The following is a 14731-nucleotide window of genomic DNA, read 5'->3' on the forward strand; positions in this document are numbered from 1 at the left end:
AAAGCAAGTTAGTTACTTCCTAGATACAATGGGGGTACAGGCATCAGGTAAATATAGCCATTCCAAATGAAAGAAATTGGCCAAAACAAAGGGGCTACAGGTCCCATGCAAGTCCAATATCCAAATGAAGCAGTCAAATTTAAAGCTCAAAAATGATCTCCTTTGACTCCATGTCTCACACCCAGGTCATGCTGATACAAGAGGTGGGTTAACATGGGTTTTCTAGGGTATAGCCTCTCTCCTGGCTGCCTTCATGTGCTGGCATTGAGTTTCTGTGGCTTTTCCAGGTACATGGTGCAAGTTGTCATCCACACTGCCCTGGCAGATGTTTTCCATGAGAGCCCTGCCCCTGCAGCAAACTTCTGCCTGCACATCCACGTGCTTCCATTCATCCTGTGAGATCTAGGTAGAGGTTCCCAAACCCCAATTCTTGGCTTCTATGCTCTGGCAGGCTCAAAACCACATGGAAGCTGCCAAGGCTTGATGCTTGCACCCTCTGAAGCCACGGCCAAGGTCTACTTTGGCCTGTTTCAGCCACGGTTGGAGTGGCTGGGAAACAGGGCACCATATCCGTAGGCTGCACATAGCACTGGGACTCTGGGCCCAGCTCACAAAAAACACTTTTTTTCTCCTAGACCTCCAGGCCTTTGATGGGAGGGGCTGCTGTGAAGACCTCTGACATGCCCTGTAGAAATTTTCCCCATTGTCTTGGGGAATAACAGTTGGGTCCTCATTACTTATGCAGATTTCTTCAGTGGGCTTGGATTCCTTCTCAGAAAATGGAATTTTCTTTTCCAGTGCATTGTCAGGCTGCAAAGTTTTCAAACTTTTATGCTCTGTTTTCCTTATGCCTTTAACAGGACCCAAGTCACATCTTGAATGGTTTGCTGCTTAGAAATTTCTTCCACCAGATAATCATCTCTTGGAAGTTCAAAGTTCCACAAATCTCTAGGGCAGGGGAAAAATGCTGCCAGTCTCTTTGCTAAAACGCAGCAAGAGTCACTTTACTCCAATTCCCAACAAGTTCCTCATCTCCATCTAAGACCACCTCAGCCTGGATTTCCTTGTGCATATTACTATCAGCATTTTGTTCAAAGCCATTCAACAAGTCTCTAGGAAGTTCCAAATGTTCTGCATTTTCCTGTCTTCTCCTGGGCCTTCCAAACTATTCCAACCTCTGCCTGTTACCCAATTCCAAAGCTGCTTTCACATTCCAAAGCTGCTTTTCAGCAGCACCCCACTCTACTGGTGCCAATTTACTGTATTAGTCCATTTTCATCCTGCTGATAAAGATATACCCAGGCAATTTACCAAAAAAAAAAAAAAAAAAAGGTTTAATGGACTTAACAGTTCCATGTGGCTGGGGAAGCCTCACAATCATGGCAGAAGGTGAGGAGGAGCAAGTCATGTCTTTCATGAATGGCAGCAGGCAAAGAGAGAGCCTGTTCAGGGAAACTCCCATTTTTAAAACCATCAGATCTTGTGAGACTTATTCACTATCATGAGAACAGCACAGGAAAGACCCACCCCCAAGATTTAATTACCACCCACCAGGTTCTTTCCATCACAGCTGGGAATTGTGGGAGTTACAATTCAAGATGAGATTTCCATGGGGTCACAATCAAACCATGTCAGCCACCACGCCTGATGCAACAAGTTTTTAATAATTGAATTTATACTGTGTTCACATGGAGTTAAATTAGAAACCATAATGAAGAGCTATCTGGAAATTTCCTGAGTACTTGTAAATTAAGCAATATACTTCTAAAAACTAGATCAAGGATGAAATTGCCCAGGAAATTCATTTTATTTTGTACTTAGTGGAAAAGAAAAAACACAACACAGCCACATGTATGGGATGCAACTAAAGTAGTGATTAGTGAGATTTTTATAAAATTAAATGCCTACATTATGAAACATGAAAGATCTCAATTCACTACATAAAGCTTCCAACATGAAAAATAATAAGAAAAAGGCAGGGATCCACCATCTCATCTCATCACTGACCAAAATACACATCGCTTCATAAGTCTCTATTAAATGTTCCTTACTAAGAAACTGGATTTATCACCCTCTTTCTTTGCCCTCTCAGCTTCCTTGGGCCCTGAAGCTCAATTCCATAGACCCACCAACTGTGAAACATGTGGCAAGCACTAGCCAGGAACTGAGAGACCAAGAAATGCACAACAACCTGAGGCATTTTTAGGCAAAATCTCAGGTGGCAGCCACTTCGATGTTGAGTGGCATGGCTCACCTTTCGAATGCTTGTAGGTGAGTATGGAGATGCCCTGAAAATGTGAAGTGTTTAGAGTCATCTGTACTCCTGTTCTCAGTGATTGTTAGCTGAGAGACAGCACATGCAGTAAGAAGGGCAGCCAGCGGCTACTGCAGTGGATGGTTGCTTCTGTGGGCTGCTTGGTTGGTGCTGGAGCCCAGGTAGCAGCAGAAGCAGAATAAAATTGCTTCAGTAGGAATTACAACTAGAAAAACGTTATTCTTAAAAAACTCTATAGACAAAAGTCGACTTTGTTAAAACTGACATTTGGGCTATTCATGTATACATAGGTATTCTTTTAATACCCTTTTTCTTTCTCTGTAAAACATCTCAGTCAACTGAATCTTATCTGCTTCTCCATTTGCTTCTATCTGCCTCTCCTTCCTCTTACAACCCTTTGTTAGGGATGGAAGGTCACCAAGTTACTGGTGGTGAATCCATATGTGTCTGCAGCAACCTCAATTCTTGCTTGCTCAGAAAAAAGAATTTGAGTGAGGGGCATGAGGCAGAAAAACACAGAGACTGAGGCAAGTTTCAGAGTAGGAGTAAACATTTATTAAAAAGCTTTAGAACATGAAAGAAAGGAAGGTGCACTTGGAAGGCACCCAAGCGAGCATTGTGAACATCAAGTGCAGCATTTAACCTTCATCCTATGACTTTATATGCTGACCCTCTCCTGGCATCTTGCACCGCTTTCCCATGATTCTTTGCTTGGGTGGGCTGCCGGCATGCACAGTGCCCTTCTTAGGCTTTGGGCGTGAGCATGGGCAGTGTGTTTTGGAAATTGTATGCATGCCCATGTGAGACTTTCTTCCCTTTCCAGTGGTATACCCCCCGAAGGTCCTACTCTTGCCATTTTGTCTCTTAATGCACATGCCCAGGAAGTTGCCTCTCTCTGGTGCCTACATTTAATTAACACTTTAATGTGGCAGCTGTGGACCATCAGGAGATTGTCTCTCCCTGGCGCCAGCTGCCAAATTATCATTTTTAGGGAGGCAGTGTGATAACTGTCGAACCATACCCAATGATCGTTTGACATTCCTAGTGGGTGGGGGAAGAGCCCTCTCCTGCCCTGCTCATGTGTGTCTAACTACCTGTAACACCTTGATGCCAAAGGACAGACGAACCTTAAAAAATGAAATTTCTGACAGCCTGGGATCCCTTAGGAAAAACAGAAAGGTGCCAAAGACTCTGTTGTTTGGAGGAACGTGTTTTTCCTCAGGGAATCCCAAGCACTGTAAGCAGACAAATTCCCCTTAGGTCTAAGGCTCTGCGGTCTTTTGGTCTTTGTTATTATGTTACTTGATTGCTTTGGCTTTTCAGAGCTATGAGAAAATGCTTGGTATTGTGGGAGGACTGGACTCTGGTGTATAGTGGCTTTTAGTCATGTGAGCTACAGTGTTAGTCATAGCAGACAGCAGTGTTGTTTGTAAGTGGTTATTACTATAGGGAACTACTTGGCTCTTTGCATGTTTTGGCCCTAAAACTTTCCTGATGTTGTTCCTTAAAGGGCTCTACCCTAAAGCTAGTAATCTAATTAAGGAACAAGCCAAGTTAAAAGACTACCTATCAAACTAAATCACTCTTTTAAATTGTTTGTAAAAGAAATTTACATCTTTAAAGAAAATCTCCCATTTGTAAGGGCATTTCTGTCTCTGCACTGAAACCACTAGGAACTCTACGGGGAAGACAATGGCTTAAAGTTTATGTAACAAACCATGCTTTTGTTTAGATCTAAGTTCTGTAACTTTGAGATGTAAATTTTCCCCTTCATAGGTGGCCTTTAAAAGGGAGGTTTGGCCTTTAAAAATCAAACTGCCATGGAGGCTGCTTTACCTGTAATTTTGGTTCACAGCCTCATTGGATTATCTATTGGCACAAACAAGGTAAAATCTGCAAGCTTGTGTTGCTATCCCATGGCTAAGGTTCCAAGCTATTGGGTCTTTGTTTATGAGTGTATATACATGTCTAAATGTGTTTGTTTGTATGTACACTTATTGTTATGTGTTGTGAGCACAAACTGGTTTATAAGTAAAAGAGTGCAAAAAAAAATAAGTCTAAGCAATTTGCAAGTTCACCTGACTTAAGTATAACTTTACTAAACAAGCTGGCTTTACGGTTATTGGTAGAATAAAAATAGAAATGCCTTCAGAATTGTCAGCACACATTTTGTCTGAATTTTATGTTTGTCTTTGCTAGATATTTTAACATTTCAGTGTTTGGCAGAGAAGGTTGTAAAACTATACATCCAGCGAAAACAAAATGATCTTTGTTTGTGTGTTTTGTTTGGATGAATGAGAGTAATTTATGAAAGAAAAATATTTTGGGCCTCTAAAATCACGAAGCTGAAGGGAAAATTCAAGCTGGGAATGCTTAGACAAACCTGCTGTTAGAAATAGATAATCGGTGCCATGAAGAAAAGTCAGCATGGAGACAAAGGATTTCTCCACAAGGCCCTTTTTATTTTCTGCCGAAAGGGTGCTCCCCGCAGATGGAACAATTTTGACAATTTTGGTGTCAATCCGTATGGGGACCCGTTCTCCTCTGGCAGTGGTCTCTAGTCCTCTCTCATGAGGAGGTGTCCCGTCACCTTGTTTCGGTGGCCTCAGGGGTGAGGAATCAAGACCCACCCAGTGTGACAAATAAACCCAGACTCTCAGCAATGTGGAAAGAAACCGGCCAGCAACCTGGGGTAAAGGATTCTCACATACCGCGGCAACAACTCTGTGTACAGAGCAAGGAAGCAAAAGCCACAGGAGCCAGTAAAGTACTTCCCTGGCGGTCAGATTCTGGAGGGCTGAATGTGTGTGTGCATGAATAATCACAGACAACCCTGCTTGTGGTGTTGTTTGTGTGGATGGTGACAAGTCCTACTGCTGGACAGAGTGAGTAGGTCCTCTCTGCAGTTTCTTAGCTACCTCATATGGCTTAGGGTGGATCCTGCTGTGGGATTTATACCAGCGTGCCAATGCTAAGAGGGGCCTAATTCTCCCTCTGGGGAGTGGCCAGAGAGGATAACATGACTGAGAAGTGTGCGAGGGACCTTCAGAGGGGGAAAGTGAGGAAACAGTTCAACCTCCCAGGGCAGGCAAAGCAAGACATCCCTGGTTTAAGGGGTTGAGTCTTCTGGGGCAGGCAAGGCAAGACATCCCTGGTTTGAGGGGTTGAGCCTTCCAGTAATTTCAGGAGATTGAACCTGACAAGTACCCAACATGGGAAATGTTTCTAGTAAAACAAGGACAGGGAGTAAAGATGACTCAGGGAAAGGTGAAGGTGATCAGATTTCTTCTAGTAGTCCTTCAGGGTGTATGTTAATATATTAGAAGGATAATGAAAGGACCAAAATCAAGAAAAAGCAGCTGCTGTCCCAGACCCTTCTCCTATCCCTGTTGTCCTCCTCTTTATAACCCTGCCTCTTGGGAATCATCCCAAAAGCTCACTCACTACCAGCCTAAGTACCGAGGGGGCCAAAACCTATAAAGAACACAGAACCCAACTCTCCAGGCAATATAAAGGGTGAAAGAGTAAAGCCAGGAGACCCATAGGAAGAAAAAAAAAATCTTAGAAGAGAGAAAAAGAGACAGAGAGACAAAGAGGGAGTCAAAGAGACAGAGACAGAGAGTCAAAGAGAGAGAGAGAAAAAGAGACAGACAGAAGTAGTAAAGAGAAAGCAATGTACCCTATTCCTTTAAAAGCCAGGGTAAATTTAAAACCTATAATTGATAATTGAAAGTCTTCTCTGTGACCCTATAACACTCCAATACTGCCTGTAAAGAAGCCAGACGGGTCACACCGGTGAGTGCAAGACCTTCGAGCTATTAATCAGATAGTCCAAACTACCCGCCCTGTCATTATAGTAATAGACTTAAAAGATGCCTTCTGGGCTTGTCCGTTAGCAGAGAACAACTGGGACCTATTTGCCTTTGAGTGTGAAGACCCTCACTCCAGTCAAAAATAGCAATACTGATAGACATTCTGACCCCAAGGGTTTATGGAGTCTTCAAATTTATTTAGTCAAATATTAGAACAAGTCATTTAATTAGCAAAGGTAAATGGCTAATTGAGCTTGAACGGATTAAAGGCATCATATCCTTTCCTCTGCCGTGGACTAAACAAGAACTTAGGAAATTTTAAGATTAGTCAGATACTGTCATCTATGGATAGATTCTTATGCCCTAAAAACAAAACCCTTATACAAGAAGCTCATGCAAGACTGGAAAAACCCCCTCCTCATTTGGTGATTACCAGAAATCCAACAGGTGGAAAGGTTAAAACATCTATTAGTTTGAACTGCCCCTGTCCTAGTTTTACCCTCCTTAAGCAGCCATTCCACCTTGTTGTCAGTATAAACAAGGGTGTAGCCTGAAAGCATGGAGGCCACAGACAATCAAAAATTCTGTGATAACCTTCCTATCAAAAATTCTTAACCCAGTAACCCACGGATGGCCCAAATGCATTCAGTCTGTAGTGGCAACTGCTTTGCCAACAGAAGAAAGTAGAAAAATAACTTTTAAAGGAAACCCCATTATGAGCACACCTCACCAGGTCAGAACTATCCTAAGTCAACAAAAGCGAAAAAGTAGCTTACTGACTCAAGAACCTTAAAGTATGAGGCTATTCTGTTAGAAAAAGATGATTTAACATTAACCACTGATAATTCCCTTAACTCAGCAGGTCTTCTAACAGGAGATCTAAACCTTAATTAATGACCATACAGAGGTCTGACCAGACCTAGGAGGAACTCCCTTCAGGGCAGGATGATAGACGGTTTCTCCTGGGTGACTGAGGGAAGAAGACACTATGGGTATCCAGTAACTGATAGGGAAACAAACTCTTGTAGAAATGAAGTTAGGAAAATTGCCTAATAATTGGTCTGCTCAAATGTGTGAGCTGTTTGTACTCAGCCAAGCCTTAAAGTACTTACAGAACCAGGAAGGAACCATCTATACCAATTCTAAGTTAATTTGGACTAAATGATGTCTTATTAATTGCGAAGGATAATTAAAATCCCAAACACAAAGTTTTCAACAAAAGTAAAATTTGCTAAAAGTTAACAGTGTAATATGTATTCATCCTAACTTCTAATTTTATGGCCTTAGGCAGTCTAGTCCACAAACATGAAGGAAGTTCGCTTTGGAAAAGGATGGCTATCATCTTAAAAAAAAAAGGGTGGGGGGAGAATTTATGTAAAAAGAATGTCATATGGTAAATTCTTGTCTTAAAATAAATTAACTGGTTGTCTAAAGAAAGGGATGTTTACAAGTCAGAAAGTTGAGACATGTCAAAGATTGTCTGTGAAAGTCATGAAAAGTTATAAAAGGGAATTTATGCAAGAAATGTTGTACAATTTAAAAGAAATTAGGCCTCCTGAATGTAAAACTATTGAAAAAACAGTTTATATGCAAGGTGTGTAAGGAAAGTAAAATATACTTTTGGTAAAAGGATTTTAAGGAGGCATAAGAATGTGGATTTTTACCTACATTAAAAGGTTGAAAAATGTTATCCAAACCCCTTATAAAGGAAATCTTGTTCCAGCTACATCAAGGAGCCCCAAAGGGTCCCTCAGAGACGACATAAGTAAAACTAAGGAAAAGGAAATGTCTCAGCAAGAAGGCACTGGGGAGTATAAAGTCCACTGCTAATGTCCCCGTATTTAAAACAAAGGATCAATTTACTAAAAATTGTATACTTGGTCTCTCTTCCACTTTCCCTTCCCTCAAAACCAAAAGTCTTTTAGCACAGGTACCACCCCTAGAATTTCCAGTAAACCAGCACCAGCCTAAGAACCACATCATCATGAAAAGGGTGGAAACTGGGGAAACTCAAGCCAGCCTGGGAAGAACCCTACCTTGTGCTGCTAACCACCAAGACTGCCGTTCGCACAGCAGAAAAGGATGGACACATCATACCCGAGTCAATAAAGTGTCATCACCATCAGAGTCATGGGCCATTGTTCCAGGGTCAAGCTCTACCAAGTTAAAGCTAAGAAAACATAATCTAGCTATCTTTTCTTCCTTTTAACTACTTCCCATCTTATTATTATTAATATAACTAGATCTAACTCATCTCAAGTTATTACTTTTAATGCCTATTTCCTTATACCTTACGGAGATTGACAAGACCAAAGTCTCTATAGCAAAAGTAAAATACCTAAAGCAAACAATAACAATTAAGACAGGGTATCAGGATGTAAATGCCTGGCTAAAATGGATTAAATATTCCATCTGCACTCCAAATAAAAGCAACTGTTACACTTGTGCACACAGTAGACCAGAGGCCCAGATTGTCCCTTTTCCACTGGGATGGTCCTCAAACCAAGCAGACATGGATTGCACGGTAGCTCTTTTTCAAGATTCCACTGCCTGGAATAACAAATTGTGCCAAGCTCTTTCTCTGCTATTTCCTGAAGTTCAACACCCTGCGGGTCAGCCCCCGAGGGCCATCCAGCCTCCATCTTCCAAGACCAATTTTACCTCGTGTCTCCAATGACAAGGGGAAAATTTTGGCATTCCTTGGAGACTTAACAGGATGCAGTGAAGTTAGGCACTTCCAAGAGCTGACCTATCAGTCCGTTCTTATTCATCCCCAAAAGGATGTATGGTGGTATTATGGAGGATCTTTACTAGACACTCTGCCAAATAATTAGAGCAGTACTTATGCCCTAGTTCAATTGGCTATCCCTTCTACCCTGGCATTTCATCAACCAGAAAAAGAAAAAAAAAAAAAAGCATAGCCTCAATTCTTACCTCTATAACAACTATAAGTATACTCCTTCTTCTTAGGTGTTATGTTGTACTGTACATCCAGGAGTTAATCAAAACAACTAAGCCAAGACATGTTAAACAAGTTTGAAGAGGAACTATGAAGTAAAATAAGAGGAAATTGTAGAAAGTAGAAAAGTTCCTCTTCAAAGCTTGTCTTTGTTTAAAAATAAAATAACAGACACTAGAAATAATAGCTTCTTACTCTAAAGCCTCCTATCAACTATTAGTTCTTACACTTTGGCCCAGTTAGTTGCTTTGTCTTAGTCAGGCATGTCTTGGCAGGCCCAGGCAAGTCTTAGCTCATAGCTTATGCCCCTTCCTTATTTGGAAATGTTATTGCTTCCTTAAGCCTTTCATAAGCAACTTCCTCTCCTGCTTTATTCTCCCTTGCACTTACCTGTTTAGGAAAATTTTAGGTTATTAGCAAATCAGCTATCAGTTTAAGACTGTGAGGTCCAGCACCAGCCAATGGATGTAGGACACAGCAGTAAGGACAACCCAAATGTGTAAGGGATAAATATGTCTGCTTTTCCTTTGTTCAAGCGGGCTCTCACCATTGTTCCATCTGCCATGAGCACCCTTTTTGCAGAAAGTAAAAATGGCCTTGCTGAGAGAAATAAATTTATGTTTGAGTGCTATTTCTCTGTGGCACCAGGAAACAAGCATTTCTAACACCTGCTTTCCATTCTATTCAAAGTCAATCCTCTGCTCACTGAAATAAATGCATATCTGATTGCCTCCTTTGGAAAGGTTAATCAGAAACTCAAAAGAATGCAACCATTTTTCTTCCACCTGCCTATGACCTGGAAGCCCCCAAGCTCCCTCCCCTCTTCGAGTTGTTTCCCCTTTTCAGACAGAACCAGTGTTCATTTTACATATGTTGATTGATGTCTGGTGTCTCCCTCATTAAAAGTGGAAGAATTTAGTACAATGAATGGGATAAATTCTGGCTGTCAGTTTGGGACTGAACAAAGGAGGACAAAGGTAGAAATGAAGACAAAGACAAAAGGATCTGTTTTAAAGAAGGAGTCAGGGGCTCCTTGCTTCTAGGGAACAGGGGCCCTGAGCTTCTACAGCCCTTCATATTTATTAGGTAGAATCAACAGAGAGGAAGAGGTAATGGTTGGTCAGCTGCTTGATTTATCAAAGGCTTTCATAATTGTTTTATTTATACAACAGGCCCCAGATGTTCCTATAGATAACCACAAGGAACACTGCCCCTGGGGCGTGAATGCCTTCAGCATTCCTTCTGGCAGCAGACGCAGTTGTCAGCTTGCCAACATCCTGCATTCATGGGAACAGTTTGCTGTTTGCTCATATAGCCTCCAGTGGTATACTGAGTTGGCCACGACCCTCATTCTTTCAGCCTCCAACAATAAATGTTTTAGGTAAACTTTTGTATAAATTAAAATGTTAAAGTTATTTTTGACATTCATTTAATATCTGGGTCATTTCTGATTAGGAAAGGTTTGGAATATGGGGAAATATGCTTCTAAAATTGTGAAAATGTTATCTCAAGACTTCTTGCTTTTTCAGGTTTAACTAAAGTTTTAGGATAAGAATTCTAGTTAACATGTAATTCTGTATACAAAATGTGCCAAAAAGGGTTATATTATTACAGAGAAAAATTAATTTTGTCTAATTTGGAAGTTATCCAATAGTTAGTTCAAATTACAGATTTTAAAATGTTATTTATGGAACAGTGTAGTAAGGAACTATTAAAGGAGAAAGATGAGGAAAATTTTGGATGATAAAACATTCTTTAAAATCTAATAGGGAATTGGAGACATTTGGCTAATTAACTTTTTCATACTTAAATCCCTTAGTGAAGTCATTATTTCTTCCATTTATCTGGAATTCCTAAGCTACATTTGTTGGGGCCAGAGGAATTAATGGAGCACACTAGCCTTTTAACCTTAAACTAACTATTTGGATTTAGGCTTCCTGATACTTTAAATGTGTTCAGTATACTCTCATAAATAGAATTTAAAAATAGAATTTAAGTCATATTTCTCTCTCTTTGCCTAATTTCTCCAAAATTTGTAAACTGTTTGTAAATATTTTTAATTCATGGCAATGTGTTTGTTTGCATACAGTCCAGCAGGGTCACTAGGGCCACTTAGGGAGAGAACCCAGAAACCTGACATGCTGGCAAAAGGGTGAAAAATTCTTACCAGTCTCTGGCCTCTTTCTCTCTGTGCAGACTGGTTAAATGAAAAGTAAAAGTCACTGTTTATCTCCTCTGTAAAGTTTTAATTAATGAAAAAGTATTTGTGAGGTTGTTCTTAAGCTATAGCCAATCTGGTGTGCTTTGTGTGTCTTTCTGTACAGTTCTGTCAAAAGAAAGGGTACCTCAGGATAGAATGCAGGCCTAGGACCCCATATGTTTGCTGTTCAAGCCAATCCAACAAAGTGGTCAGTAACAAATTTGGCCACAGGCCTCCATCTGGTATCATGTCCTTGGGAACATGACCTGTAATCACATGGAAATACTTTTAGTCTCAACCATTTTACAATGGCGGCTGTCTTCTGGTGCTTAGTCAGTTCCTGGGAGGGGGCTACAAAATCAGATAAGCCAGTTTATCAATCTGGGTGGTCCCAGCTGATCCATTAAGTATAAGGTTTACAAGATATCTTAAGCACAGATCTTGAGAGTAGTTTAGGGAGGGTCAAAATCTTATAGCCTTCATCTGTGTGACTCCTAAGCCATGGTCTCTAATCTTGTGACTAGTTTCATTATCTGTTCCCCAGGCAAGAGGGAAGTATATTTTAGGAAGGGGCTATTATCATCTTTGTTTTGGACTGTAAACTGTAAACCAGGCTCCTCCCAGAGTTAGTTCAGCCTACGCCCAGGGATAGGCAAGGACATCTTGAGGGCAGGAAGCATGATGGAGTTTGTTGGGTTGGATCTCTTTCACTGTCTCAGTCACAATTTTGCAATGATGTTTTCAAAACCTGCTTACCCTCTCCTTTGAAAATACCTTGTACACTCGCAAGTAAGTCATAATCTAATTAATGCTTGTTGGTTTCACCTATAAGGGTACTTTTTGTAAAGTTCAAAAGCCAAAAATCTTAACTGGTTGGTGTGGCTTAAGTCAAGTAACAAGGGATTTTAAATGATTTTTTTAAAGAGTGCTCAGCATAATTAAAAGTGGATATCTGTTATAGGTATATTTAAAAGGACTTTTTATGTTTTTCTCTTCTTGAATCTTGTTTTTCTGGAAAAAAAGTTTTTTTTTTTTCTTCTCAGTCGACTGAGTTATTTCTTGCCATTCTTAATGCAAATGAAAGGCCCCAAGGTAACTTCTGGTAGCCAGGGACTCCTTGGGAAAAACAGAGGAGGTGCCACAGATCCCAATTTGGGAAAAAAAAAACTCTGTCTTCCTCATGAAACCTCAAGAATTAAAAGTGAATAGATCCCTCTCAATATCAAAGGCTCTGTTCTGTTTTGTATTGTGTTATCTGATGGTTTTAAGGTTTTGGGGCATCAGAAATTACTTTGCATTATGAGAGAACTTTGGTGTGTAATAACTAGGTAGAAAATATACTTTAAGTGTTGGCTAATAGTAACTATGAAGGGATACTTAACTCTTTGCACATTTGAATTGAAGAAGCATGGTTTTGGCCACCTGAAATATATGGAAACATCCCCACCACCTATTAAGAGATGAGACTTCCATGACAGATGGGCTAATTACAAAATTGATTGATTGGCTTTGGGTTGCCTTGCAATGAAATGAATGGTAGAAGCAATGCACTGTCTTCTCCCTTACTATCTCCCTCCTTTTGGGAACCCAAGATCCAATATAAAATAGCACACTTAATTTTGGCGATCTGCCTTTGCTTCACTGTGCCTGCTTATTAAGCCCTAAAGATGCATGCTTTCCTGGCCCTGTTCCTCCAAAGGCTCCACCCTGAAGCCAGTAATCCAATTAAGAAACTAGAAATAAAAAATCTTACAAACACTAAATCTTCAGACTGTCTGTCTGTCTCTCTCTCTGTCTCTCTCTCTCTCTCTATATATATATAGTGTGTAATGTCTATAAAAACGAAGCTATAATTAATTGGCTTAAAAAATAAGCACTTAGGTGGCTCACACCTGTAATCCTAGCACTTTGGGAGGCCGAGGCGGGTGAATTGCCTGAGCTCAGTAGTTTGAGACCAGCCTGGGCAACACAGTGAAACCCTGTCTCTACTAAAATACAAAAAATTAGCCAGGTGGTGATGTGCATGTGTAATCCCAGCTACTCAGGAGGTTGAGGCAGGAGAATTGCTTGAACCTGGGAGGTGGAGGTTGGAGTGATCCAAGATCACGCCACTGCACTCCAGCCTGGGTGACTCCATCTCAAAAACAAATAAATAAATAAATAAAAATAAGTGCTTAAATCAAATATTTTTTAAAGGAAAGATAAAAGCTGTAATGCCTTTTATGTTATGTGACTTTAATCATTCAAAAAAAGTCTTAAGAGATCGTTGGTAAAACACATATATCATCAAAATGTAAATAGGTGGTCTAAGTCATATAAGTCAGACACTAGGTTTGCTAAGTGTTTCAAGGCTGTAAACTGCATGCTTTACAACTTGGTAAGGCCCAGGGACATATGAAATTAACCACATCCCTAAATAGGCTGGAAATAGACTTTCTCTATGCCTAATATGTAATCAAAATAAGTTACTAGGTTTCACACTAAAGTTAAAAATTTATAAAAGTTACCATCATAACATGTAATTTAAACTATTAAAAGTAAATTTACATGTATGATGTGTAAAAACAATAGAATGTGTTCTAGTAAAATATTATAAGCCAAGGAAATGTAAAATGTAAATTTTGCCTAGTCATGAAGGATTGTCTTAAATTAGACAAGAAAGATGAAGGTTTAAGAAAGTTATAGAAAGACTGTAAAAATTAATCTTGCAAAACTCCCATGTGTAAACATTAACTAAATTCAAAAGGGTATTATAGGATCTTTTCATAAATTGAGCATTGAAATAAACACACAGCAAGGTTGTCTTAAGACACTCTTCTGTCCTTTAGCAAAAAGGTTATAAAAGGTTTGTAAAGACTTCACATCAAAGTTAAATTGGTTAAGATTAGATGGAATCCTCTATAAGGTTTTATTTTAAAAATTGGGGTTAACATTAATAAACTAGGCCTGGTGCAGTGGCTCATGCCTGTAATCCCAGCACTTTGGGAGGCTGAGGCAGGTGGATCATCTGAGGTTGGGAGTTTGAGACCAGCCTGACCAACATGGAGAAACCCCATCTTTACTAAAAACACAAAATAAGCTGGGCATGGTGGTGCATGCCTCTAATCCCAGCTACTCAGGAGGCTGAGGTAGGAGAATTGTTTGAACCCAGGAGGTGGAAGTTGTGGTGAGCAGAGGTCATGCCATTGCACTCTAGGATGGGCAACAAGAGAGAAGCTCCATCTCAAAAAAGAAAAAAAAAGAAAAAGAAAAAGAGAGAAAGAAAACAATATTGTTAAACTAATTCAAGGGTAAAATTTGGCTTTGATCAGGATTTTCATGTAATAGTAAAAGCTAATGAAAGGTTTTTGCCTTTTGAGTCATCATTTTGGCAAAATAAGTAATTTATAGTAATCTGGAATTCTATTTCATAACATCGAGTGTTTTAAGCCTCTAACATAGTTAGCAGGTTTCCAAAAATCAAACATCGGTTTCAAAATTGTCTT

The 14731-nt window shown here is 40.0% G+C and overlaps 1 long non-coding RNA gene across 5 annotated transcripts in view, besides 1 other annotated feature; it reads left to right on the forward strand.

Annotated features, from left to right (window-relative positions):
- The window catches only part of LOC105373438 (uncharacterized), a 220483-nt gene that overhangs the window by 134908 nt on the left and 70844 nt on the right, over window positions 1-14731 (forward strand). The window lies entirely within an intron of this gene.
- Window positions 3353-4261: an enhancer, noted in NCBI's record as "OCT4-NANOG hESC enhancer chr2:13816299-13817207 (GRCh37/hg19 assembly coordinates)". NCBI's record gives its function as "activates a minimal SCP1, AML or CMV promoter by ChIP-STARR-seq in naive H9 embryonic stem cells {active_cell/tissue: H9 hESC(naive)}" and the evidence as "EXISTENCE:reporter gene assay evidence [ECO:0000049][PMID:30033119]".

This window comes from Homo sapiens, chromosome 2 (assembly GCF_000001405.40).
Source record: "Homo sapiens chromosome 2, GRCh38.p14 Primary Assembly".
In the NCBI taxonomy this organism is placed as follows: Eukaryota; Metazoa; Chordata; class Mammalia; order Primates; family Hominidae; genus Homo; species Homo sapiens.